Source organism: Homo sapiens, chromosome 8 (genome assembly GCF_000001405.40).
Source record: "Homo sapiens chromosome 8, GRCh38.p14 Primary Assembly".
NCBI lineage: Eukaryota > Metazoa > Chordata > Mammalia > Primates > Hominidae > Homo > Homo sapiens.
This window is the reverse complement of record NC_000008.11, coordinates 35,419,948-35,446,984: the sequence shown is the minus strand read 5'-3', so window position 1 is coordinate 35,446,984 and position 27,037 is coordinate 35,419,948. Positions and strand designations below refer to the sequence as shown.

At 35.9% G+C, this 27,037-nt stretch overlaps 1 protein-coding gene across 17 annotated transcripts in view, besides 1 other annotated feature; it reads right to left on the bottom strand.

Annotated features, from left to right (window-relative positions):
- The window catches only part of UNC5D (unc-5 netrin receptor D), a 561,066-nt gene that overhangs the window by 349,556 nt on the left and 184,473 nt on the right, over window positions 1-27,037 (bottom strand). The window lies entirely within an intron of this gene.
- Window positions 14,427-14,627: a silencer, noted in NCBI's record as "peak6991 fragment used in MPRA reporter construct". NCBI's record gives its function as "represses an SCP1 promoter by STARR-seq MPRAs in K562 erythroleukemia cells {active_cell/tissue: K562}" and the evidence as "EXISTENCE:reporter gene assay evidence [ECO:0000049][PMID:32103011]".

Genomic DNA, 27,037 nt, shown 5'->3' with positions numbered 1-27,037 from the left:
GGTATTAATTAATATCTGCTCCAATACCTCTGGATATCCCTGTGAAGATGAGATCCATGCTTGTGAAAGCACAAACTGTAGAACACCAAATGGATATTAGTTTCAGTCTTCCCTCAAGGTGAAGCTCACATGCAACTGAGATTCTGTTAGGGAAGGAGTAATCCTCACAGGACAGGCCATCAGAGTCACTGTGTTAGGCAATAAAGTGTGGGTATGGGCAACAAACTGGATTTTCTCTATGAGGTGAAAGATCTACAGACCCAAGGGCAATTAACTGATGCTCCACGTCAGAATTTGCGAAATTAGAAAAGGGGGTAAGGAAACTGAAACCTTCATTAAAACAACAGGGAATTTCTGAGATTTGGAGATGTCTAATGAAACTCATTTATTTAACAAATATTTACTAAACCATACCCAGTTATTTTGCTAGGCTTTTTTAAAGAATGACAAGGAATGAATTAGTTAATTACACTTGGGTAATTACTTTTTTTTTAGTTTTTAAAAATTAGATCTACATCTTATATCACAATAAAACAAATGCTATGGAGGTTAAAGAATTAAACATAAAGATCAAATGCATAAAGTAATTACAAGAAAATGTAAGTGAATTTTCTTCTGATCTCCAGTTGCAGATTCTTTTGGGCATAGAGACAATGTAATATGGTATATGAGTTACGTTGCAATTAAACAAAATCTCAACAACATTAAAAAACCAATAAATCCCACATACAAATAAAACATCTGCATGTTGGAAATGCAGGGAATCATTTACAATAATATTTTTAAATTGTCAATGCCTTTGAGGACTCGGGGGGAAAGTGTGGGAAGGGGGTGAGGAGTAAAAGGCTACAAATTGAGGTCAGTGTATACTGCTCAGGTAATGGGTGCACCAAAATCTCACAAATCACCACTGAAGAACTTACTCAGGTAACCAAATACTACCTGTTCCCCAAAAACCTATAGAAATAAAAAATTTAAGAAAAAATTGTCAATGCCTAAAAAGGTTTTCACAATACATTAAGCAAATACAAGCAAATTATAAAATTATAATCATCATAATGGCCACCAGTTCAATTTTCAGTTTTAAACTTTTATATATTTTTCCAAATTTTCTAAAGTAACTTTTGATCACTCATAAATAAATACTACAGATGTATTAATCACTTTTTTAAACACAAAAAGAATTGAAAGCTGTGCATTTCTCAAACATGAATGAGCACCACCTATAGTTTGCTGATGGGTTCCTCCCGAAGAGTTTCTGATGCAACAGGTTCCCAGGTGATGTTGATGTTCCCATACTGGAGGGACTACACTTTAGACTACTGGGTTATAGATAGGATCATAGACTTCTGGGCCAGATTATCAAGTTTAAAGCTCACCTTCAACACTTGTTTTTAGTGGGTAAATTAATTAACCTCTGAGCTTTAGTTTCTTCATTTGTCAAGTAAAAATTAAAATGGCACATAATAGTACCAACCCCTTAAGACTGTTCCATAATTTAAATAAATTAACATTTACAGGGAACTCAGAAGCACACTTATGACATAGTAAATGTTAAATGTATTATTTTAGTGAGAATGAAAATCTAGCATTGTTCATATTTCACTAAAAATGTCAAGTAACAGGTTTAAAGATTTCTACCACATTTTGAAACTTATTCATAGTTTTTATTTTGTTAACTCCTTTTCAATTCCTTTGTAGTTGCTTGCCACAAAGTCTTTCAGAATCTTGAAAAGAATTATGTGTTTACTGAATGACTAGGAGTGGACAGAGTGGAGGGAGAGGCCAGTTAAATACTGAACCCTGAACCCAGGAGGTACTGGGGGCTGGCATGAGAGACAGGGAGGCAGGAAGTTGGGGGCTACACTCTGATACCAACAGAATAATGGATAAGGTCTGATGTACACATCACTTGGTCAAGAAAGATTGTCTACATTTAAATAATAAAAATATGACTCTAGGAGGGAAACATCATGATCCACAGCTAGGGTGATGCTATAGTTTATCATCTAAACTGAGACACTTTGAAAGTAAACAGAAGAAGGTGTTTTGTTAACAATTACAATTGGTCAAAATGCAAAAATGATACTATCTGTGGCTTCCACCTTTTAAAATATCAAAATTACTAACTAAAATTTGTTATTCTCCTTTATTGACAAGGATAATTCCTATGAGGTTTGTATTACTATGGAATCTTGGAATTCTAATAGTTTTCAGAGGAAGCATAAGTGTAGTTGAAATAATAGAAACCTAGGAGTCAAAGAGTCTTCAATTCAGGGTGGACAGTGGACCAGGCCAGAAATTTCCATCCTGGGTCCACATAGTCTCTCATTTCTGTTGCCATTGATCTTCCTAAGGCTAGGATTAATGAAGGCATGAGTGTTTTCTCTTCTAATTTGATTTCAGAAGATGAATGAATTTGGGAAGAGAGAGAGAGAGAAAGTGTGTGTTTCTATATGCATGGTATATGCCATCATGCATATGCATGCACACTTACACACACACACATACTCATTCTATGTGTTACTTGAAAGGGAAAAAGAAAATTAATCAGGCCCTTCCATAAAGGCTGAAAAAAGAAAGAAAAGAAGTCTGCAATAGGCTGATTACTTTCCAGGAGATAAACATTCTCTAAATGTTTAGAGTAATCTCAGATTGAACGTGCTTACTAACTGAAATTAGCCAAGTCCTCCCAAAGAGCTTATCACTCGGTTCAGTAAGAAGAGCTAGCAGAATGTTTAAAGAGTATGAAACCAAGTACTGTAACACATCCACACTTCAGTGGGGCAGAATAGAGAATGGGAAATTTGATGTTTCTTTCAGTAATGACTGCCAATTCAGTCACCTTCTGTATGGAGGACGAACATTCAGAGATGGGTGAAAAAAAGGTTCCCCCAAATACTTTTAACATTAGATAAGAAAGACTACCAAATCAAATTCTTGTGTTATAATCTGTCAAATAATTTATGTTTTCAACAAAAGTATGTGTTTAAAGAATGAGTGAGAAAAAACACTTACAATAAATATCATAAATTTCTATATTAAAAGCAGTGAAGAAAGTGACCCTTTCTTATATCTTTTAAGAGGATTTACAAATAGCATACAATTTCTGATTCTGTTCTCATTAAAAAAGATGATCAGCTAATATATATAACCTTTTGATACACTTCCATGGAGAACTGTATATGCAAATATAATTCTATATTATATCCTAAGTATTTACTTTATGACAATGATCAGACCTCAATAAAATGAGTTGGGAAAGATCATTTACAAAATAGTCTTGTACATTTAACCATAATAATAAAAAATATTCTTTCCAGTGTGAAGCTATTACCATTGGCAGGCAACGATCTGAAATAGAAATGATGCAGTGCCCTCTTTCTGAAATAGAACTAAATATTCCGCAGATTCCCATTGAGATCTGTCAGCTTTCTTTTGCAGATCACCAAAGAACTAAACCCACCATCACTTAGACCAAGCAGCAGAAGATGATGCCATAACATGCCTCTTCTTTTCAAGGTCCAGCTCTGTGCTTTAGATTCCCATCTCCTCTCACTGTTTCACAACTTTTTCCAGCCTAAGAATGCTGGCTGCCCCCTGATTCAGCATTCTGTGGGAGTCTGTGACTCCCACAGAATGATCTCCATGCCCTTCCCCTAGATCCTTCCTCATTTCCACAGAGAGCAAACTGACTCACTAGCAGAGAAGTCTCTGTATGCCCCAAGACAGCACACACAGTAGGTACACATTTTACAGAAGTTCTCAGAATATCCTTCTTGGTAAAGCACAGTACAGTGTTCTTAGTACATTAAATACGGTTACTTGGGTTTTAGCACCCTGAGATAGAATAAGCTTCGGATACCTGACATGGTATAAAGAAAATATGTGAATATGTCCAAAGCCATGAGGTCATTCCTCTCCTCTCTGAATTACTGGTTGTAAACCCAGAGGAAGCTACCTGATCCTAATGGTCCTCACCTATATTATGGTATTTTGATGTCTGTAATTTACTGTCAAATACTTAAGCACAGTGGTGTGTGTGTGTTGTGTGTGTGTGTGTGTGTGTGTGTGTGTGTGAGAGAGAGAGAGAGAGAGAAACAGAGAGAGAGAGAGAGAGAGAGAGATGGTGTAAGAAATAGAGTTTTAATTTACAACCAACCCAAGGTAATTACTTGTCTGAATTGGGTTTGCTCTCATATAATCTAAGCATTATAATAGCTACAACAAACACTTCAGCTGTCTTATCTCTGCTCGGGAAGAGAGCTTTTATTAATTAACATAAAACAGATTTTTCGTATGGATTTTCATTGGTGAATTTTGTTGTGCTTGAATTCCTTGGATTGGCTGGAAATATTATTCAAACTACTAAACAAACTATTCTATCAACAAGTTATACAAAGACCGGACATTTGAGGTGGGACTTGAGCTTTGTTTTTTAAAGAATCTCTAATCCAACCACTATTTCGGAAGATTCTGGTTACCAATGCTGATTATAAATTACATTACTGTAATTCCTCCTAAGTAAGATCTAGTATAGACTCTTACCTCATGCCTCTAGAGTAACTCTTGTGTTTGTCACAATCAATCTTTCATACATGCTGGGAGCAGAACCCTTAAATAAGGGAATGCTGGATGTCACTGTTTACCTAGTGTGGTGTATAACTAATTTCATACTTTCCTTCCAATAAATATATTCATGTGTAGTAGGATTTGGTACAAAATATACTTGTGAATGGCAGCAAGGTTATGAAGGAAGACACATGTAACTCTCACCTACCTTCAATAACTGTAGGTCCCTGCTATTAAAAAACAACAAAAACCACCAATTAAAAAAATCTAATAACCTTGAATAGCCAAATGTGTTTATGTCAATTTATAATAAACAGGAAGAAAAATAAAATGAAAGTAATTTCACGTTTTGCAAGGAAACATCAGCTGTACAGGTTGTACAGGGTTTTCTGAGGACAACATGTGCTATGGTGCACTTGGAATATAGATAGTGCTAAAAAATTATTTTGTTATTCTACAAATCAAATAGGTCCTGGAATCAGAATTCTATTGGCACAAGACAGGGCGCTTCATCAAACCCCTTAAAGAATTTCTGCTTCTTGTTGGTTGTCCCGCTTCTTATTAGATGAATAATGGTCAGACGATGGATTCTATTGCATATGGCGCTGATTCTCCTTCGTTCCTCCCAAGTAAGATCTAGTATAGACTCTTCAGCCAGCATATTCTCATTAACCTACTCTATGATACATCATAGCCCAAATGGGCAACTTATTTTATACTTCAGTTTCATTATACCAAAATCAAAGAGATGTCAATTGTTAGGAATCACTTTGAAAGCCAGTGACCCACGTCTAACATACTCAGTTTCTTAACTAACATTTTGACCTACTTCTGTTCTAGGATATTAAAAAGTTCACAATTCAAGGCACCACCAGGAAAAGGAAGTGGAGGAGACTAAATTACAGTAGTCACCCTTATCTACAGGGGGTACATTCCAAGGCCCTCCGTGAATGCCTGAAACTGTGGATAATAGCAAACCATATCTATACTACATTTTTTCCTATACATACATACCTATAATGAAGTGTGATTTATAAATTAGACACAGTAAGAGATTAATAACTAATAAAATAGAATAATTGTAACAATACTGTAATAAAAGTTATTTCTCTCTCAAAATCTTACTGTGCTGTACTCACCTATTTTTGGACTGCAGTTGAATGCAGGTAATTGAAAGCTAGGAAAGAGAAACCATGGATAGGTGAGGAGTATGTTCTGAGTTTCTCTCCCTTCTGGCTACATTTGAAACGGCAGTAGTGAAGAGCAACTATAATCTCTGGATCCAGCCTTATGAAATGTTAGGTCAAGGTCTACTGGTATAAGAAAACCAAATGTTCATGGCCAAGAGGGGAGTCACACCAACAGAAGATTGCCTGCCCCAAAGACCTGCAATCTTCCAGTAGCCACAGTTTTAGAAAACATATAAAATGCAGACTCTTACTAAATCTCGCTCAAAAGAGTAGATACAGTCTGGTCCCTACCCTCCTCTCAGAACATGTATAGTCTTTCATGGAGATAAGATCACCATATATGAATCACTGATCGGTATGTATGAAAACACATGAATCACGAATATTAGGAAGACAAAAATAGCACTCATCAATCAATGAACATACACTGATTCACTTGTGACAAATGTTTTATGTGGCAGAGTTGTCTAGGGAAGATAAAAATTGGCAACAGCCACTCACATTTGCACAGCGCTTCCATATGTATTAATATTCATGTCTAAAATAAAGAGCAAGGGTAGCCCAGGAAGGCTTTGGGGAGGAGATGTGATGCAAAGGGTTTGCTTCTAAATTAGTTACTTAATTTAGCATGCTAGTTAGGTACTTAACTTGCTAAATGGTGCTAGTTTAACAAATGGACCAAATATATTCATCAGGAAGATGCCAACAGAAGCAGACACTGGACTATCTGTCTGACTGAATATAAGCTCAAAGTTTCAAAGAAATCACAACAGAGAACAAAAAAGCTTAAAATTCATGTTTTAATAATTTTTCTCATAAAACAGCCTTCATGAGAAGCAGCTAAAAGTGGCTAAATTTTCCGAGACACCCGGGCTGAGTTTGGAAGAATGCACTCGCTAACAGTGATTTGTGTTCCTGTGATGTGTCCCCATGATACAACGGGGACTTTAAAATGAGACCATCAACATGCACTCAGAGAGCTTTCAGGATCTCAGTTAAGCCCAGATGGACATGCTTAGTTTCTTACATATGAAGAAACATTTCTCCACAACAAAGAATGGAGTTAGGTAGAGCCCCCAGAGGCCTATTGCTACTGCCTGGCAATACAGGTCACCAGCGTGATAGAGTTGAACTTGAGGACAGTATGGTAAACAAAACATTGAGGATTAGAAGGTGGGTTATGGGGGGAAAAGCACTGATTCTGAAAATACTTGTTTTGTGACCTTTACATCTCTATATAGTGCTATTGGATGTACTTTCTTACAACTGAAAATAATTTCACTACCTCCTTCAGTTTACCTTTAAAAGTGAAATACGCCATCCTGAGAGATTTTTGACTAACAGTGGAGTCAGGAATTCAGTAAAGGTATAGACACATAGCACAGGAACTGTGCTTTTCATATTTAGAAGGAAAACGACTTTCCATATTTAGAAGATGACTTTCCATATTTAGGAAAACGACTTTCCATATTTAGAAGATGGAAAAACGACTTTCCATATTTAGAAGATGGAAAAAGGACTTTCCATATTTAGAAGATGACACCCTTCTTGGGAATGACAAAGAACTCAGATATACCTTAGTCTATCCCATGGCTTTGGCAGGTGGAGAAAATGAAGCCTGAAGAATTAGGGTGTTGCTTTTCCATAGCTTCAAGAGACTTCTGCTAAAACAAGAATTCACGATGTCACAAACACGGTGTTCTTAATCAGACACTGGTTTTTAAACTTGCCCAAGTAGTTACCACTTAGAATGGGTTGATTTGGGAAGAATGGCACGAAATGTTTATGCAGCTTGTTCATTTGTTTTGTTATCTGTTGCCCCCAACTGGCCAACAAGGAGCAGCAAACACCAAAGGGGAAAACATGGATCTCAGAGAAACTGTCAACGGAGAACATCCCAAATTTAGGTTTCCTGAAAATTAAGAAGAAGTTACTCTCATGTTATTTTTCCTAACAGTGGCACACACTGAATCAGCTTGCAGAATGCAGGCATCATACACAGACATGATGATGAGAATGACGATGATTTATGGACAGCCTACCGGGAACCAGGCACTATTTTAAGTACTTTTCAGTCTGTAAGGCAATCTGTGGCATAGGCATTATTATCCGCATTTCAAGATCTAGAACTAGGGGCTGAGATAATTTAAATAATTTGCCCAAGGTCACACTCAGCTTAGAAAAAAAAAAATCAATGTATGAACCAGAGCTGTCTAATTCATCAGGCCAGATTTCTGGCCCCCTGCGTCCATCTCTCCCAGAACAGGGGTCCTTTTATCTCCACTTATATGCTTAGCCTTGCAGTCCCTTAAGCCAGACCTGACCTCAGAATTATCTGACATTGGACTACAACCTCAGGTCCTAATTTTGCTAAATGGGCCTCTGATAAATGTTCCCTGTTCTTGGATAAGTTGATATCCTAAATTCTTTAGCTCTCGGTCTCTGCTTTACACGTTCTTGATCATTCACTAGAGTTTTCACCTAACTCCAACCTTATACTTGGAGCCTTGCTTCCTGCTGCAAACTTTATCAAAGCAAATTTATGCGAAGGCCAGAATCAATGTAAATCTCCCACTAAAGATAGTTTGGCTTATGTTATTCTCTGCAGGAAAAAAAAAAATGTGTACACACACACAAATAAGGTGATCCTTGATAGTGAATGTGAGCATAAAGACATTTATAGTTTTCTATATACAAGATGCCCACATATCTTTGCTTAGAACAGACCTGATTTTAAGCTGGTTGTCCCAGCATGATTACTAATAGTGCCCCATTAAACTCTCCAAACCATCTGAGTTGGAATGATACATCTTAAAGTTATCCTAATCCTGTGCACCACTGAGGCACCATGAAGACACTCTACAAACGTCACTTAATCTTTTTTAAAATTTTCACATTCATTTAAAAATGTAGCTAACCTTATTCGCATTATACAAATGAGTTAGGTGAAAATCAGAAAGGTCAAAATATATAATTCAAAATCCCATTATTACTAAATGGAGACAAAATTCAAAGCCACGTCTGTCTGGAGTCGGTCTCCTTACTGTATCATATTGCCTTCTGTGAGGCTTTCTCAACTAATCTGTGTGGGTTTTTTTTGTTTTTTGTTTGTTTGTTTGTTTGTTTTGCCTTTTCCAAAATGGACAAAGGGTGGCTTCCAAATAGATTTAAAACATACTAATATAACATAAATTTGGAAAACATGGAAATAAGAATACTGAAAAACAAAGTACAGAGTTAAAACTGAGCCAGATATAACAGTAATACCAGATTATTTACCATAAGATTCAATATTCTGACTTCTCATGAGAGAAATCCAATCAGTTTACAAGCCAAATATCAGTAAGACAAAAAAAAAAAATCAACCGCTCAGAAGAAATCCAATTGCTCCTGTTACTAAATTCACAAAGCAGCAAACCATTTCTCGCAGAAAAGGTACTCACAAAAGGGACACTGTAATCCAATGACAAAGATCATAACAACATCTTTACAGAAGGCCCCACAAGGTTTTATAGATCTCTTTTCTATAGCCTTCTTAGATATCGGCTAATAGCACCACTCCAAACCATAATTCAGAAGACTCCGTGGGTGGGTGTTGGAGGATGGAGGAGAAAGAACGATTTTATAGGAAGCCAATAAAATATCATTCATGTATATAAATGTTGGTTGGCCTTGATCCTGGGACGGATATTAGCATATTTAATGGTTTAGAATATTTAATAGGTATTCATCAGATACCCATCCATAGATATTTCCTTCAGCTGAACAATTATATGGGGAAGACCTGTTTATCTGCTGTCAGAAAAGAACTTTGCTGACCATTCTACATGGATCAAAAGGATTACTTTTTTTTTTCATTGCAGTTTTATCTTAGAGATGTACCATCTACTCATTCCATGCTGGAGAGGAAATGTAACACATTGAAAAATCAAGAAGTCAATAATATAAACATAATATGATGGTTTTCAGGAAAACACCTATAGATAATGGCACATGTTTAAATTTTTATAATGAGCATGATAAATGCAATATCCATTCTAAAGAACATGAGAGCATACTTTGTCCCTTAGAATAACGAAGTATGAGCCAGGCACAGTGGCACAAACTTGTAATCCCAGGTGCTCATGAAGCTGAGGCAGGAAATTTCTTATGCCCAGTGGTTCGAGACTAGCCGGGGCAACAAACATGGTGAGACACTGTCTCAATGAAAAAAAAAATGACTAAAAATGAAGTTCCTGTGTAGTAAATGACAGTAATAAATTGAATAAGATTCAAGTATTGCTATTAAACATATTTAAAAGTTTCTAGGTACTTCCCCCACCAAATATAGAATCATATAGCAATTGGTACTAAATATTTCATGAGAAAAAGTCTCTAGGCTTTTTATATGTGTGTATGTATGTCTGTCATTTGTTTTGTTTCTTAACTGAAACACAGTAGGAGTTATGAATCTCAGTAGTCATCATTTTAGGGTATATAGTCCCTTAAGCATTTGTGGGTTATAAAAAATTTTTGTCTTCCAGTCTCCACATTCCCAATCTCTCCTATTGTGACAGAATACAGTTTTTGATTAGTATTTATATGGAGATACAATCTAATACTAAAAATTTCTGTATGACACCATCAACTGACCCAACTGAATGCCAACTCTTGAAAATACTAGAAAGTTTCTCAGCTAAATACACAGTTTTTGGTATACTCAAGAGCAGTTTTTGAGTGCAGAAAAGGACTCAGTTCAGGGCTTTTGTTTAGCTTCTATAATACTAATTTTAAAGGAATTATAAGCCCCAAAATATAGCTTTCTTAAATTAAGTAGATAAATGAATCCTATCCGAAGTGTAATAAACATTATTTTAAGGGTGCTGTGATTAATGCTTGTTTTGTTATAAATTTAAACATCTTCAAACATTTAAAACAGCTTTCATATATTTAATATTTCTGAAGACTTCAACAGTCTCACTTATAGACCCCAGTGTATAATCAAAATATTGTTAGAATCAAACACATTAAAACTATAATGTGAAGAAATGCAAAATTTACAAATTATGTGCTCTAATGTTTACAAGCTTACTAAGGTCCCACTTACAATCAGTTATAACTTAATTATTGAAATTACAAATTTGAAATTGAAGTCACAGAATAATCTATTTTTCTGATACTCCAAATATTCATAAATATTGCCAAGTATAAATATTTAAGAATCACTTTTAATATAAATATTAATAAAATCCATATCTTCTATACTTCATGGCTAAAACTTTCTAAGAGTTTGATAAATGCTTATTTCCAAGAAAATAATCATTTCAAGTCCATAATGTAACCCTGCAACATAATTTTGGTGTGATTTCTCAGTATTCTGCAGCTCAGAAAATGACCAGAATTCAAAGAGGTTGACTGCCTTTGACAGCTACCTTTAGAGGAAACTTTGAACACTATTTATAGCTTCCATGTCAATGATTCCATAAACCAGAGGAGACAGTGTCCAACACTTGAAATTCAAGTTTTACAGTTCATCTCCCCACCTACAACTAATTTAGATATATCAGTTGATTACATTTGTTTACTTCTTTGGCCCTTATGAGTTATTTTCATTTTATCTCCAAAAAAGCTTTACATTTTTTTGAATGAATTCTTACATTGTTTCATATGCTTAGAAATATTATAATGATGTAGTCAATTGGATTATTGTTATCACACATGGCTCTACTGTACTATTTGAATACAACTTCCAATGTCATTCTACCTGTAATTACTAGTTCTTAGAAACTGTAGCACTTCTGTATTACTAAGTTAGTACATTTTAGCCAGCATAATTCTTTTGCCAGCTTTCTCCAGAAATGCATTGAAGAAATGTAGGAGTGAAGACAGAGAATGTTTTGCTACTGTTGGAAAGTTATAACCTATCCTCTGTTACTACAAAAGTGAAATGCAATCTTTAATGTCTACATTAGGATGTGAATCATATTTAATCTTTCAAGTGTTCTTGGATTAATCTGTTTATAGTGTTTAAGATACTTCAAAACAAAATTAAGAATTTACCATATTGGTAATTATATATAAAATAGATACAGTAATTTTGATAAACCCCACATAAAAAACAAAAAAGATTAAAAACTCCAAATTATCAGTGAACCCTCTTCAGAAAAAACCATACTCCACAGTCTTTCCAAGTTTAAGATCTTTAACTTTTTTTTAGGTTCAGCACCAGTTAATGTAGAAGGATTCACTAAGTGCACAGATGAAGATATGGCCAGAATAAAACTCACACAGATACACACACACGACATACAATTTGAATAGCAGACCAAGAACTGGTTCATATCTTTTCACTAATAACTGACCACATCATTGCTTTAGGTCTAGCATTTACCAGAGAAAATATTTTATGCTTACTACATAAACTGTACACTTTTTGTTTGCTTTTAATGCAATTTGATCTAGGAAAGAACTATCATGTAAGTTTTCACGCTCCTAACTTGCTTTTAAATTTTGGTATATCATGAAAAATATATGCCTCCTAATGAATGGTATATGAAAACCACTTCTAATTAAATTGTGGAACTGTATTAATGTTACAAGTTTTGTATCTTGATTTATAATAAGAGAATGACAATTATTTATGAAAGAGGAGACAAAGTTAAAGTGGAAGAAGAAAAGATAACTTTAATTTATTCTGGGGAATAATTTCTTACCAAAAAAGCCAATAGTGTGTAAAAAGTCTGGAAGCAAATATTGTACATTTCCAGGTGAGAAGTTTAAAAACAGATTATTTCTGTTAACATAGTTATTACTTAAAATAAAAAAAAATTTAAAATTACTTACTTTAATTTCCAATACCCCCACCCAAAAAAAATTCTCACTTTGGAGGAACTCTAAGACAACAATTGATAGTTTTTAAATCTAAAATGGAATCATTGACTCTCATTAGTGGAACTTGCTACATTTTCATTAAAATGTTACCAAATTTATTTCCATATTTCAATTTTATACATGAGCTGATACGTAAAATCCACGTGAAATTGAGATTTAATTTACTGTCAATTTTGAGCCAAAACTTCATAAATTCACCAGGTTTTTCAATTAAGCTTAAAATTCATACTTTCCTAAATCAATAGATTTTAGTGCTTTATATCAAGGCTTATCATTATGTTACATATTCTGACTTTTTAATATCTAAAAAAAGCTAGCTTTAAAATAAATTATTGTATAAATAAGGTGAGAATCATAGAATACATTGCAAGCCTATGTCACAAAATAGAGTAGGAGTCAGGAAAGATAATTGATAAAGATCATAATTTAATTAAGAAAGTTCCACTGGTATAAATGAGAATATAGTATTTTCTTTTTTTTCTTTTTCTTTCTTTTTTTTTTTTTTGAGACAGGGTCTTGCTCTGCTGCCAGGCTGGAGTGCAATGGTGCAATCTCGGCTCACTGCAACCTCTGCCTCCCAGGTTCAAGCAATTCTCCTGCCTCAGCCTCCTAAGTAGCTGGGATTACAGGCATGTGCCACCATGCCTGGCCAATAGTATTTTCTTTATTCTTATGGCCTTTGAGTACTGATGGTTTATAAACCAATTAAAAAGATATAAGAATTAAATGTAAAGTTAGCATCATGAATATTCTATTCATTTATGTTCATATTCTAGTCTAATAAAATAAGCAACTATTTTTAAAAGGAGTCTTTTCATAACTGAATTGAGTAAATTTTTATTATTTTTTTTGAAGGGGGAGTTGATAGAAATTAATACATGTAAACTTGTGTAAGTTACCATTTCTTTCCTTAGTGAATCTGTTAGCTTTTCCTCTCATATGCTATCATAAAGCAAGAAGGAAATTTTAGAAAGTCAGAAAAAGAACATTTTAAATGATTTGAGACTCAATATTACATCCTTAACAAATGGACCAAATGGACCAAGGACATAAACATTTTGAGATGAAAGAAGAGATTCCAAGATATTTGTAAGTGCCAGGTAGATCTATCTCCTCTTGAGACCACACTATTTCATTAGGTCATCCAACTACAATTTGATTCTTGTTCTTTTTAGACAAATTTGGCATACTAATAGAAATTCATCACACAAGTCTTCATGCAAAGATAGTCAATGAAAATAAATGTGTTAGCTTTCACATCGAACATCAGAAATCAGTTAAGTATTCAATTCAAATTCATAAAAAGTTAAGTGCCAACACTTTTTTAGTTATTAAGGATATAATTATGTTTACGACATGGTCTCTCACCTCCCCAAATTTCACAGTTAATCAGTAAATATATTTTGTATTTGTTTGTACATTGCTATTTACCTGTGTAACAGAATGAAATGCTCCTTATAAGAATTTCAAGGAAATTAATTGTTCTTGGCACCAGACAAAGCTGCCTTGGCCTCGAAAGTGATAGCAGATCAAAGTACTCCGGCAGGACAGTCAACTATTTGGTGAATTGAGTTGGGAAACTGAAACCTTTATTCTCATGCAAAGATGAAAAATACACAAATATTATATCCGTGCAAGTAAGATAAGATGGTTTATTATTTAACTGATGAGGGACCCGTTTTTCCAGCTCATTCCACCCTGAAACACTTTCCTCTTGCTTTTCCACTAGCAAGCATAAAACATTAGTTGCATAGAATTATGAGCTAACCCCAAGTTGTTCTAACACAAGTGATTCTAGTTGGAGTTAAAATATTTACTATAAAGCTTATTGGTAAGAGTGAAGTGGATAAAGTTTATTGATAAGAGTGAAGTGGATGTGGGGCTTTTCAGCACCCTGGACAGCACCTCAAGCCAGCCTGGGAAGAGGTACTTTGTAAAACAAGAGAAAGAAAATTAAACATCTTCCAACTGAGTACTTCCCATAATTTTCTGATTTATAAAACTATGTCATAATAATGTTGTCTCATTAAAACTGTGAGAATTAAAAAACTATTTCAGGATGGGGTAATAATAACAACAATAATAGAGGTTTTTCTATGTGCCAAATGCTATTTTAAATATTTTCCCCAGCTAAAGTTGTTTGATCCTCACGATAATATTACGATGTAAGTGGCATTACTTTCCCTATTGTATAGATAAATAAACTGAGATTAAATAACTTACCTAAGGTCACACAGCTAGTATATTATAGATCCAGAATTCCAACTCAGGTATACTGACTCCAGAGGCCATACTCTTAACCATTCCTTTGTGACTTAATAAAGAAGTTTAAATTAAAATCAATATGCTTTTAAGGATTATGTCATAAAATTAATTTTAATACTGAATTTAAAGTTAACTGTAACTTATGAAGAAAATTGTTTAGTTTCTGTCATTTAACAAATGGCTCATTCTGCTTTATTTCAAGAATAATTTATTATTACTATTATTTGAGTTAAATCCGAATTCATAAATTACTTTTAAATATTACACTGTATTAGGTTTGGAAAGCAAACACACATTATCGAAATATAGACTGAAAACTATGTACTGTGATATCAAAAATAATACCAAACTAATTTCATTATCTGATGTTGAAAATTGTTGTACTTTGTCCATAAAATATATGTTGGTATATATAATATTTGTGTTTTAATTCTAAATAAAATAAGTGTTCAGGTGTTATTTTCAAGCTCTTCTCCATAAATAACCTATTGTAGTTGCAGAGTTTTTATACTTTCCTCAATGAAAAGCCAGATGGAATATAACCGCATTTTTCTTTCTAGCATTGGTTTTTTGAAGTCCTAGAAACATTCTTTTTTGTTTACTTAAGGAGCCTTGAAAATAATGGTAAAGATCATCTTGAAATAAATGTTTAAGTTATAATCTGTTATATTCCTAATTTCTTATTCTAGGCACATGATAAGCATAAATTAAATAATACAAGATTAAGCATAAATTCCATGTAAAATTATGCATTCTTCAAAATGACCAGTGCAGGTGGTGATGTTCAGATGAGTAATAAACTGAATGAATAACTGAGTCATGGACATCCTCAAATGAACTTCACTAACCATTATGATAACTACCCTTTTTACACTTATGGTCTTTTACAGGGAAATATTTAAACAAGTATTTACCCATTTTTGAAAATGGAAACTGAAGCAGATGTCAATAAAGATTCCTGGTTTATCTTATTAACAGTTTATAACAATTGGTTAACATATAATTATTTACCATCATTTAATATTCAAGTATACAGATAACTGAGGAAGTTAAATGACTGGCCCAAGATCACAGAGGTAATAACAATAATATACTTTCTCAAACTTTTTCATGCCATGTGTCCATCACAATGTTCAACATTCTACGACAGCACTTAAGTAGTGTGTTTGTGCATGCATGCATGTGTGTGTGATTTAGTATTTGTCACCAAGGTGCTTCTTCCATCATCTGTCACTCTGCACTCTTACTCTGGGCTTTGAGGTAGATCTTAAACCTCTGGGAAGAACAGAGCTGATAGGGGTTATCTGTTCTCAGTAGCAAAAATGTTTTTCCTCTGTTCTCATGCAACACAGAATAATTCTGTGACCATATATATGTGGAGGTTTTTCCCCCACCCACCAAGTGAGCAATCAGTTCTACAGAGGACACCAGCTGGGTGTCCTCTAATTCAATTCAATTCCAACACTATCTACCTGGAGATAGCATCAGATCTCCCAAGGTAATGACTCAGTCCCATAAGACTGCCCTCCACTTCCTATGCCAATTGCGATCCCCAGGTTGTTTCATTTGTGCTTCTGATCAACTTTAGAGTTTCTGGTGACCCCTTTCTTGGGTTTAATTGACATGCTAGAGCAGCTCACAGAACTCACAGAAACACTTATGTTTACCAGTTTATTATAAAGGATATTACAAAGGGTACAGATAAACAGATGCACAGGGCAACGCATGGGAAAAGGGTGTGGAGTTTCCATGCCCTCTCAGGGTGTGCCAGCCTCCAGAAACATCCAGATGTTCGGCTATCTGGAAGCTCTCTGAACCCAATAATTTTGGGTTTTATGGAAGCTTTAAGTAAATGTGATTGATTAAACCACTGGCCACTGGTGATCAACATAACCAAGGAGAAGCTCCTCTCTCCTCCTTGGAGGTTGAGCAGGCTGAAAGTCCCAATCCTCTAGTCAAGCCATGTTCTTTTTAGTGACCAGTCACCATCCTGGAGCTACTTAGGAGCTGCCAGCCCTCCAGCTCAACTTGTTAGCACACAAAAGACATCACCTTGGGGACTCCAGGGATATTAGCAGTTGTATTTCATAACAGTGGGACAAAGACCAAATATATATTTCACAATATCACATTAGTCAAAATCTATAGAACTACTAAGGATACAGAAAGAAATATAGTTGTTTGTCAAATGCAAAAACAGTCTTGAAATTCGAGAAAATGGTTTTGGGGCAAATGAAAACAAAATGCTAGGCTCTATAGTAACAAAAAAAAGATCATTGGTCGTCATGGGCTGGGGACTAGGGTAGGAAGAAATCACAAAGGATCCTAAGAAACTTTTAGAGGTGATGGACATGTTCTCTATCTTGAATGTGGCTGAATGAAACCTCAAAGAATACTCTTTAAATTGATGTAGTTTATCATGCACAAATTGCACTGTTATAAGATTGATAAAATGGAAAAAAAGTGTTATTTTATACCTTGTAGAGAAAGCTTAAATAACTCATTTCCTCTAGTAATATTTTTATCTTTAATGGCTAAATAATGAAATTAATGATGATATAATAAAATACAAAACAAGTTTGTATACTTATGCTCTGACATCAGTATCTAAAATCTTAAGAATGACACTGTAAGTAACCATTTGAGCTGAACAAACCCATATAAGTCACAAATATAGAGAAAACAGAGAGTTAGTGGTAGTCTGACTATTCACTGAAATGCCTATACAGGAAAAAGAAAAAAAAACAGGTTTCATGGAGAAAATCTAATTAATTAATTCATAATCTCATTTCATTGCTATCTCTATGAAAAACCTATAGCTCAGAATCTCTAGCACAACACTTCCTGACCTCTTAAAAAGACTAACCCACAGGATTCCTTAGTTCTTCATTATCAAAGAAGAAAGGGATAAAATGAAGATTATTGCAGCTTTTGAAAAATAGTCCATTTTCATGCTGACAATTAACCATGATGTGTTCTATACAATTTAAATGAAGCATAAAATAGCAAGCAGATCTCACTTTTATGGATGTAGCTACCATATTTTCCATTTAACCAGCAAACTGGGACAAAGTCTTTTAAGAGATGGATTTACTCCAGCTTAGTCACATCTCCCATTTTCTCAATGACGAATCAATTAACATATTAGATTTCTTTGTGAATTGTCTACTTATTTTTCAATGATTTTCTTCTGCTTGTTTAAAGTCAATAAAGCCTTTCACAAATAGTGAAAATGGTCAGGAAGGTAGTCACTCTCTCTTCAGTGAGGGATGGTTGGTTGGTGGTGTTTTCATATCTGAGCTGTCACTACCACAGACTTATTTTCTTTTGGTTTGGCTTCAGTTAAGTGATGTTAGAAAACCCTGTTGGATAAGTCCTTGCTGGTCAAGGGTTCAACACCAGCTTCACAATCTCAGGTACCCATTGTGAAACATGGATATCTAACAAAAGTTTATGGGGAAGTGAGAGTGTGCATGTGTATCATAGCCGCCAAACATCAGCATAGGGTTCTTATGCTGCACAGAAGAAAAGTGTGTCTTCAGTGGGGCAGAAGAGAGCCAAGGAGGAGCACAATCCATTTATTCTGCAAGAAAGTAGATTTGGCCGGGGGGCAGTGGCTCACACCTATAATCCCAGCACTTTGGGAGGCTGAAGCAGGAGGATCGCTTGAGCCCAGGAGTTTGAGACCCGCATGGGCAACATGGTGAAACCCTGTCTCAAAAAAAAAAAAAAAAAAAAAAATAGCCAGGCATGGTGGCATGTACCTGTAATCCCAGCTACTTAGAAAACTGAGGTGGGAGGATTGCTTAAGCCCTTGGAGGTGGAGGGCTCCTTGAGCTGAGATGGCGCCACTGTGCAGTCCAGCCTGGGTGACAGAGTGAGACTTTGTCTCAAAAAGAGGAAGTAGAGTTAAAAACATGACCTGACATACCCTTGGGTGTCAGATTTGTTTCCATGAATGTGGGAAAAGCTACCTGAGTAAGGTTCTTAACCTTGCTCTTAACTTTGAGACTCTAACTATCCATCTACATTTCAGTCTGGGCAGCACTTCCTTTATCTTTATCAAATATTGAGCTTCCACAAAATATTTCTTTCAAGCCAGAAGACTTTGTTATTGAAAAGTGTTTGTAAACCAGGACTCTATGATACAGTCACCATTCCTACTGCATCAGTGAGTTTTTACATGCACTGCCCTGATACAGTGGCTTACAGTTTTATCAGCAGGAAAGAAATATATCCCAGAAGCTTGTAATTTATAATGAGCTTTCCAGAGTCAACTTTCTTTTGATCATACTGATTTCACATTGAGGATTTTGAGTGAGGACAAAATTGTTAAAGAGAACCAAGGATAAATTATTCTAGTCTGATCAGTATATTAATATATGAAAGGACAGGGATTACAGGAGACTCCTATCAGGATCACAGAACAGGAAAGATCCGAACTGAAATAGTCTGTGATAAACAACTTCTTCCTACTTTATCAATGTTTCATCATCTATATCTAATATCCCTACTCATTCTTCAAAGAACAGTGCCAATCCCTTTGTCTCTCAGGCCTGATGATGGACAAAGCTGTCTCACTATGTTTGACATCCACCCTGCTAAAACACATGGGGAATTCACTGATAATAAAAGCAATTTGGTAAGTAGAATTTCATACAGCGGCAGTCTGAAAATCTCGGGACCCATTGTTCTGTTTTCCCATCTAGCAAGATGCCACCCAAGGTAGCCCCAGGTGGGTTTGTGAGGACCAGCACTCAATTGTCTATGCACATGTGTGTCTACTCACCTATGTGCATGTGAACATTCAGTAGAAGAGAAAGGAGGAAATTATGTCAGCAGAAGTGAAAGCCGGCCTTGAATACCAAGCATGTCAGCATCTTCTTATTAGGAAATTTCACCTGTCAGACCTAACAGAATAATTCAAAGGGGTAGTTGGGGGGAACCCTGAATTCTACATATTATATTGAGCTGGAGCTGAATATTCTCCACTTCTACTAAAAGCTGTTTGGTCAATTCAGGGGAATAAATCAAAGAAGATGTATTTTACCTTTAGTAGAGCCAAGTGATTGCAAAAATCAACTCGTTCATCATCTTCCATCACCAAGAAATTCAGTAAATAGTACCAGAATGGGAGTCAATAAATGTGCTTAAATAATACCATGGCTTTTACTCACTGTGCTTTTAATTTGGTAAATGAATGCCTTCCACTGGGTGACTACCCTAGAGTCCAAGCAATGACGTAGATTAAATACTCCGTTAGCTCTGCAAAGCTGAATGCATCTCAGAGGTCTAGCTAACAATAATGGTTCTGGAACATTCAGCCTAAATCTCCCTGCTGTTTAATTTCTAACATTGAAAAGGGGCATGTGGGTGCAACAAAACTCTGAAGTTAAAAAATCACCTTTTTAATAGTTTTAAGGATGGTAACTGTACAAATAAAAGATAGATGCCTTTAAGAAATACAAAAGGACATCCCCATAAAACAACTGCAGGATATTTTACTGATTACATTAAGTTAACCTCAAAATAACTCTCCTAGTGTGATACTAGAAGAGTATGTTTAGCAGAGCAAAGATACCTAGTTTCCTCTGACTTGGTTTCATCTTCATAATACTAAAGGTGTCATGATGATTATTTTTGAAATCACAAATGCCAAGATTATTCAGAAGAGAGGAGAAAACTTTTACAGAAGTTTTTTTTACATCTTTATTTTCCCTAATTCTCTAATTTTGTTATGATTCTGCACTGATCAAATTATGTTTAAAGTAGTATATTTAAGGAATAGTCTATGAATTCCATTCAAAGGACAGTAAGGCTACTTAGAACCATGTTTTATGAGGAACAGTTGAAAGAACTCAATTACTCAGCCTAAGGAAGAAAAGGCAGTGGAATATTTTGATGGTGGTGGGAAGAATCCACGTCTTATTGTCAAACACTTGAAGAGTTCTTATGTCTCGGTATCCTATGTAGTTTCAAAGGGTAGAATTTACAGGAATATGCCTTTTGGTTTCAACAAAGGAGAAAATTAACTGTTTAAACATGAAATGGGCCGCCTTAGGTATTGGTTAAATTTCTGTCGTTCATGGCGTTACATGGAGGGTTATGTGTCAGGCTACTAAAAAGGACGTTCAAAAATCATGTTAGTGCCTAAACCAGATGGTTTTTAGGTTTCTTCTGACCCTGAAATGGTTAAACGCCAGTCTGATCACTATATATTATATGTATCAAAACATAACTATGTATCCTATAAATATGTGCAATTATGATATGTCCAATTAAAAAGAAGAGAGGTAATTGTTACTTAACCAGAAAACAAACCCTCACAAATTCAGAGCCTGCCAATATATTCCCTCTGAAGGGCAGAGCAGGGTAGAACTGGCAGAAAAGGTGCCAGAGGATGACAGAGACGTGAATAGGAGAAAGACAATTGGTTCTGAGGGAGGAGAATCAGAGCCCTTGAGAAACGCATTGTCCTTGAGCAAGTCAATTTGACCTTCTAAAGTACAGCTTTGTTCACATTTCTATAAACACTTACTTAACTCACGGGCATGCTGCAGGGCTTACCATAATCCTAAGGTGACACAGTATACCCAGCACAGCAGTGTTTTAACCGGGGTGGGGGTCTCGGAGAGTTTACACATCAGCATTTACCACATTTTGTGCCTGGATAAACAGAAGCTCTAAGGAGCTGAAAGGATAGCTAAGAGAATAATGTCTTTAGCCAGGGACTGAAGTGGAAACTTCCCAGATCTCTGCCTTTTTACTGACTTGGTTTCTACGCCAAGTTTTTATAAGTAACATGCATTTTGGTGAGGCAAAAAACCAAAGGTAAAGATAAATTCCCTAACATTCACCTTTGTGAGAAGAGAAGCAACAATTTCTTTTTTCTTTTTATTTTTATTATACTTTAAGTTTTAGGGTACATGTGCACAACGTGCAGGTTTGTTACATATGTATACATGTGCCATGTTGGTGTGCTGCACCCTTTAACTCGTCATTTAACATTAGGTATATCTCCTAATGCTATCCCTCCCCCCTTCCCCCACCCCACGTGGGAATTGAACAATGAGAACACATGGACACAGGAAGGGGAACAATTTCAGCCCAGTACATGATCACCCACATTCTAACAAACATCCCCATCACTATCCCACAACCACAGCTTAAATGGAGAAAACAAGTCAGCAGCCCTGTAGAACACACCACCTAGGTGTCAACTTCTAAAGTGCCAATTCCTCATTGCTATAAATACGTTACATACTGAGTTACCTCCTGAAGAGCAGAGCAGCTTGAATTGGAGAAGGTAAGAATAAGAGAAGGCCTCCAGATTTCCTGATGCTCCTTCCCAGGTTGCAGGGGCATGAGTCCTAAGCCCACACTATAGAGATGAGTGTGTAGCTGAATCTGCGTCACCTCCAGATCACCTGAAGAGCTTCATAAACACAGATGTGAAAGCCTCCCACCCAGATTTACCAAGCCAGAATCTCTAGGAATGGGGTCTAGGGAATCTTGTTTTTTAAAGCTTTGTAGAAGATTCTGTAGCTGACACAAGAAACACACACTTCTTAGCTCATTCCTAGACTGACAGCCTGGATCTGCTTTGTCAGTACAGTAGGCACCAGCCACATGGGTGACTGAGCACTTGAAATGAGACTAGTCCAAACTGAGATTTATTGTAAGTGTAAAATACACACTGGGTTTCCAAGACTACTACTAATGAGAGAATGTAAAATATTGATTACATGGTGAAATGATATTTTGCATATATGTTAAATATATCATTAAAATTAATTTCTCTCATTCCTTTTTATTAATGTGATAACTAAAACATTTAAAAGTATATATGTGGCTTATAGCTATTATATGAATCATCTCTTGCCTTTCTATAGACTTTCTAATTTTCTTTCCCATACATTGTCTCATTACCCATACAACAATTCAGCAGAAGAAAATCCCTCAAACTCCCTCAGCATTAAGTACTCCTTGGCTGGGTGCAGTGGCTCATGTATATAATCCCAGCACTTTGGGAAGCCAAGGTGGGAGGATGGCTTGAAGCCAGTAGTCCCAGACCAGTTGGGGCAACATAGCAAGACCCCATCTCTACAAAAACTTTTTTTTTAATTAGCCAGACTTGGTGGCACATGCCTGTAGTTGCAGTGAACTATGACTGTAACACTGAACTTCTGCCTGCAGGGAAGAGTGAGAATCTGTCTCAAAAAAAAAAAAAAAAAAGTACTCCTTATTAACATCTTCCAGTTTACAAACTCTTCTATTATTTCTTAAGTCACTTCAGCTTCATTTCAAACTTTTTAGTTTCAATTTAAGGGCAGTCATTCTTCATACTTCTGTAGAAATAATACTGCCCCTACTTTTCCATTCTTCAGGAGATAGTTTCCAATTGCTTTGTCTCCAAAACATGACACTTGTTAAAAACTGTCATAACAAATTTAACAATCAAGCAGTACTTGCCAAAACAGTATTAGTTCAAGTTTTTGCCATTTTCCTGTTTATTACACCGAAACACTGAAAATCTGAGGAAATTTCTATGCACAAGTGTCTACAAATCAACTGAGAAAAATAGAATTAGCTACATGGTTTCTGACCTCAAAATAGTTTCATCAGGGAAAAGACCAGGGCTTATGTGTGTAAAAGACAATCTATTATAACCTGAGGTAGGAGCAGCTGACTTGGCAGGAAGGAGGAGGACATTTCAGAGAGGGAAGATGTCATGAACAATGCTGGAGCTGCAGTGAGCACAGCATCTGTAGGGCAGAACCTGGCCCCTGAGCTTATCTGTGAAGATGCTCAAGGGCACGTGTGGTGACAGGGACTAATGTAGTGGATGTGTAAGTCTCACTCACAAGGAGGACTCTTGCTCAACACAACCATGTTCTCTGTTCTCTCCTCACCAACTGAACTATAAGACCTGTTCTCCATGCACATGTCATAAAATTGACCACTAAACCACAGGTTAAGTTGCATTGCAGCTGCTTCTCAAAAGCAAAAGGGTGATTTTCACTTGGTGGGGGTCAGTACTGGAGGACAAGTACAAAACCTGGATTCCAGCAACTGCTCTTCACACATAGTAACTGCATAACCTGAGGCAAGTCACTGAAACTTGTGGAGGCTTTGTTTCTTCATCTGTGGGGCATTTGAGAGCCTCCAATATAACATCTACCCATGTGACCACTTTAATTACTGTAACTACACATAGACTAGGGGGAGCACGGGCTTTGAGGACAGATTATGTTCACATTTTTCCATCCCCTTTTTCCAAAAGGGAGAAAATACCACATACCTCACATGGTTGTTGTGTAAATTAAATGGAATTATTTCCCTACTACCTGGCACATAGTAGGTATTCAATAAACGATAATAGTCCTTTTCTCCATTACTATGATTTCAAGTGATGCCAAACCATGTCCAAATTTTCATGTAAACAAAATCAGCACTGGTTTTGGTCACATGAAAAAATAATTATCTGTGTGCATAGATACTGAAATTTGTAGAGAAATGGAATTTTAGCATCAATTGCAAGACATCTTTTGTCATTTTGTATTGCAGAGGCAATTCTCCTGCTTATTAGTGATTGAATCCAATGAGTGGTCTCCTACTAGGTATGACAGCTAAGTTTCCAGACATTCACTGACAATGAAAGAATATTGTCCCTTTAGAGAACAGTCAAACTCTCTCTCCGCCAGGATTGATTCAAATGTACTTGGCTCAGCAAAACATAGAATAACTGAGAAAATGGTCTCCCAATGAAACCCAGTCTTCTCCAACCTCTTTCTAAGCATGACACGTTTTTATTAGCACGTTCTTTGGTGTTGGTGTTTCCAGAGAGTCCCATTAATAAGCAGTCCAACTTTGGCCTTTACTGTAGGCCCTAAGTTTGCAGGAAAGGGGCCATATTGCAACCGGTGACAACTGGTGGCAGCTCGGAGAGTGTGAGATGGGGCTCTCTAGGCATCTAATCACTGCAACAATCCCAGCGTGAGGCTATACCGTTCATGGTTTACCACACACAAAACATCATTTCAGAGTTAAAAAAGCCAAAATGTAACAATTGTTGAAAAAAGATTCTCTTAATGGACATGAACAAAGTAGAAGGTATATTATTCTGTCCCAAATTTGGCTTTTATCTTGAGTCTTTCAGAAGAGCATCAGTGAATATATATTCAGAAAAGCCCACTGTAGAATAGGTCGGTAGATATGATGAGTTTAAGTTTTATTTCTCACTATTTTTAAAAGGTAAATGATGGTGTAAAGAAAAGTTTAGACTAGCCAAGAGTAATCTAAACCTGAAGGGTGGGATTATTTGGGTTTACTATTCCTATTTTTTCATAAATGTTGTATTTTTCTATGTGTGTGAGTACATATATATGTACATAAATATATGATATATACATATGTGTAGATATCTGATATATAACTATTTTACAACTATACAAATACATGCTCATAATAAAAGAATGCAATCAATAAAAAATTGTTTACATTATAAAACTAGTTTTTATACAAAACTGGATGAATTACCAACAATTCCTATTATTAAAGTAAAATTTAAAAGTCTCTAAAAACAAGAACTGTACTTATCGCCTGAATATCTTCAGTAAGAATCTGGTATATGTTTGTTAATAACATAGTGGCCTTTTAATTTGTGTTTATATAAATCATGTTTATTCCCCAATACTAATAATTCTCTTCTCCCTTTCCCCATACAGGCGTTAGGTGAGGTCTTCAGGCAGATGGCACCACTGGCTCTCCAGGTACAGCTGCCAAGTAGGGGCAAGTTACCTAGCACAAAGCCTGTACCTCAGCCCATGCCATTTCAGAGATACCAAGAAGTCATGTTTGGCTTCCAAATTGCACAGATCCCTTACTTACTCCTACTGTGTTCTTGAGATAATAAACCACTGAGGCACGTTTAGATAAAGGTTAATGTCATAACCTTTCCTGAGAGCAAACCTTGATATGGGCACAGAAGAGGTAGTCCTCTGTGGCAAGAGTCCCTAAATGGATGGAGGGAATGGAGAGGGATTCAATAGAAGCTATGAAAAAGGGACATTTTCTACCTTCACCATTTAGCCTGGGATCAGTCTTACAAAGAATGATAGCAGCAACTAACCTATAACTTAAGTCAGTCTCTGGTAATGCCAGAACAAAGTCATCACACATCATTTCTGACCTGTATCCTACTTGACTTGTCAGATACTTTAGGTAATAATGATTTTTTTATAGTTCTCCTGGGCCTACCCTTTCTGTACTAAGGCATGAGAGAAATATATATACTTTATTCCAACACACTGAAATGGCAGTCTCTCTAGGAAACAAAAAAAAAAGCCCATGGTATTAATACCATTTAATTAATAAGGCATCAGTATGATTTTTCCAGTCACTCACATCTTAAACTATAGGTTATTAAGGGACAAAGGGGAGAGTAGGAGGCACATCTGGCTTCCTAGAGGGAACTGGTGTCTTTGCAGATGCACCTGCTAGTCTGCTCCTGAGTTGTGGCTTCCACAGACTTCAGACTAATTGTATTCCAATTAATAGAGGTAACAAGCACTTTATACTGAATTTCATTTTCAGAGCTTACTTCAAGACACACACAAGACAGTTCAGAGTACCGCATTGGCAATCACCTTTATGAACCACCAGGAAGGCACTAGTGGAGGGGAAAGAAATAGGAAGAGAAAACGCTGTGTTCATTGATTCTAATGAGAAGTTTCCTAGGCAGGCAGATCTTGTTCTTAAATCTCTCATCAAGAGGGTATGTATGAATTATACTCCAGGTTTATGAATGCTTTAAATTGTATGTATATTAATAAAAGCTCTGTAGCTTCTTCAATTTCATGTTCTTTTATTGTAAAAAAAGAAGAAACAAAAAAATAGTTGCTTGAATGATTCTTCAATATGATAGACAAATTCCTAGGCAGGCAGGCACAGGTCCCTGGTGAAATCTCACCTTCAAACCAAAGACAATTTAAGGGCTGAAAACCCTTTTTTGATTTTTGATTGCCTTTTATTCCATCAAATAATGCTTTTTCCAGGCCCACCCATGGACCAATCAGCATGCACTCCCCCATTCCGAGCCCATAAAAACCCCCAGACTCAGCCACATCTGGGGCTATCTG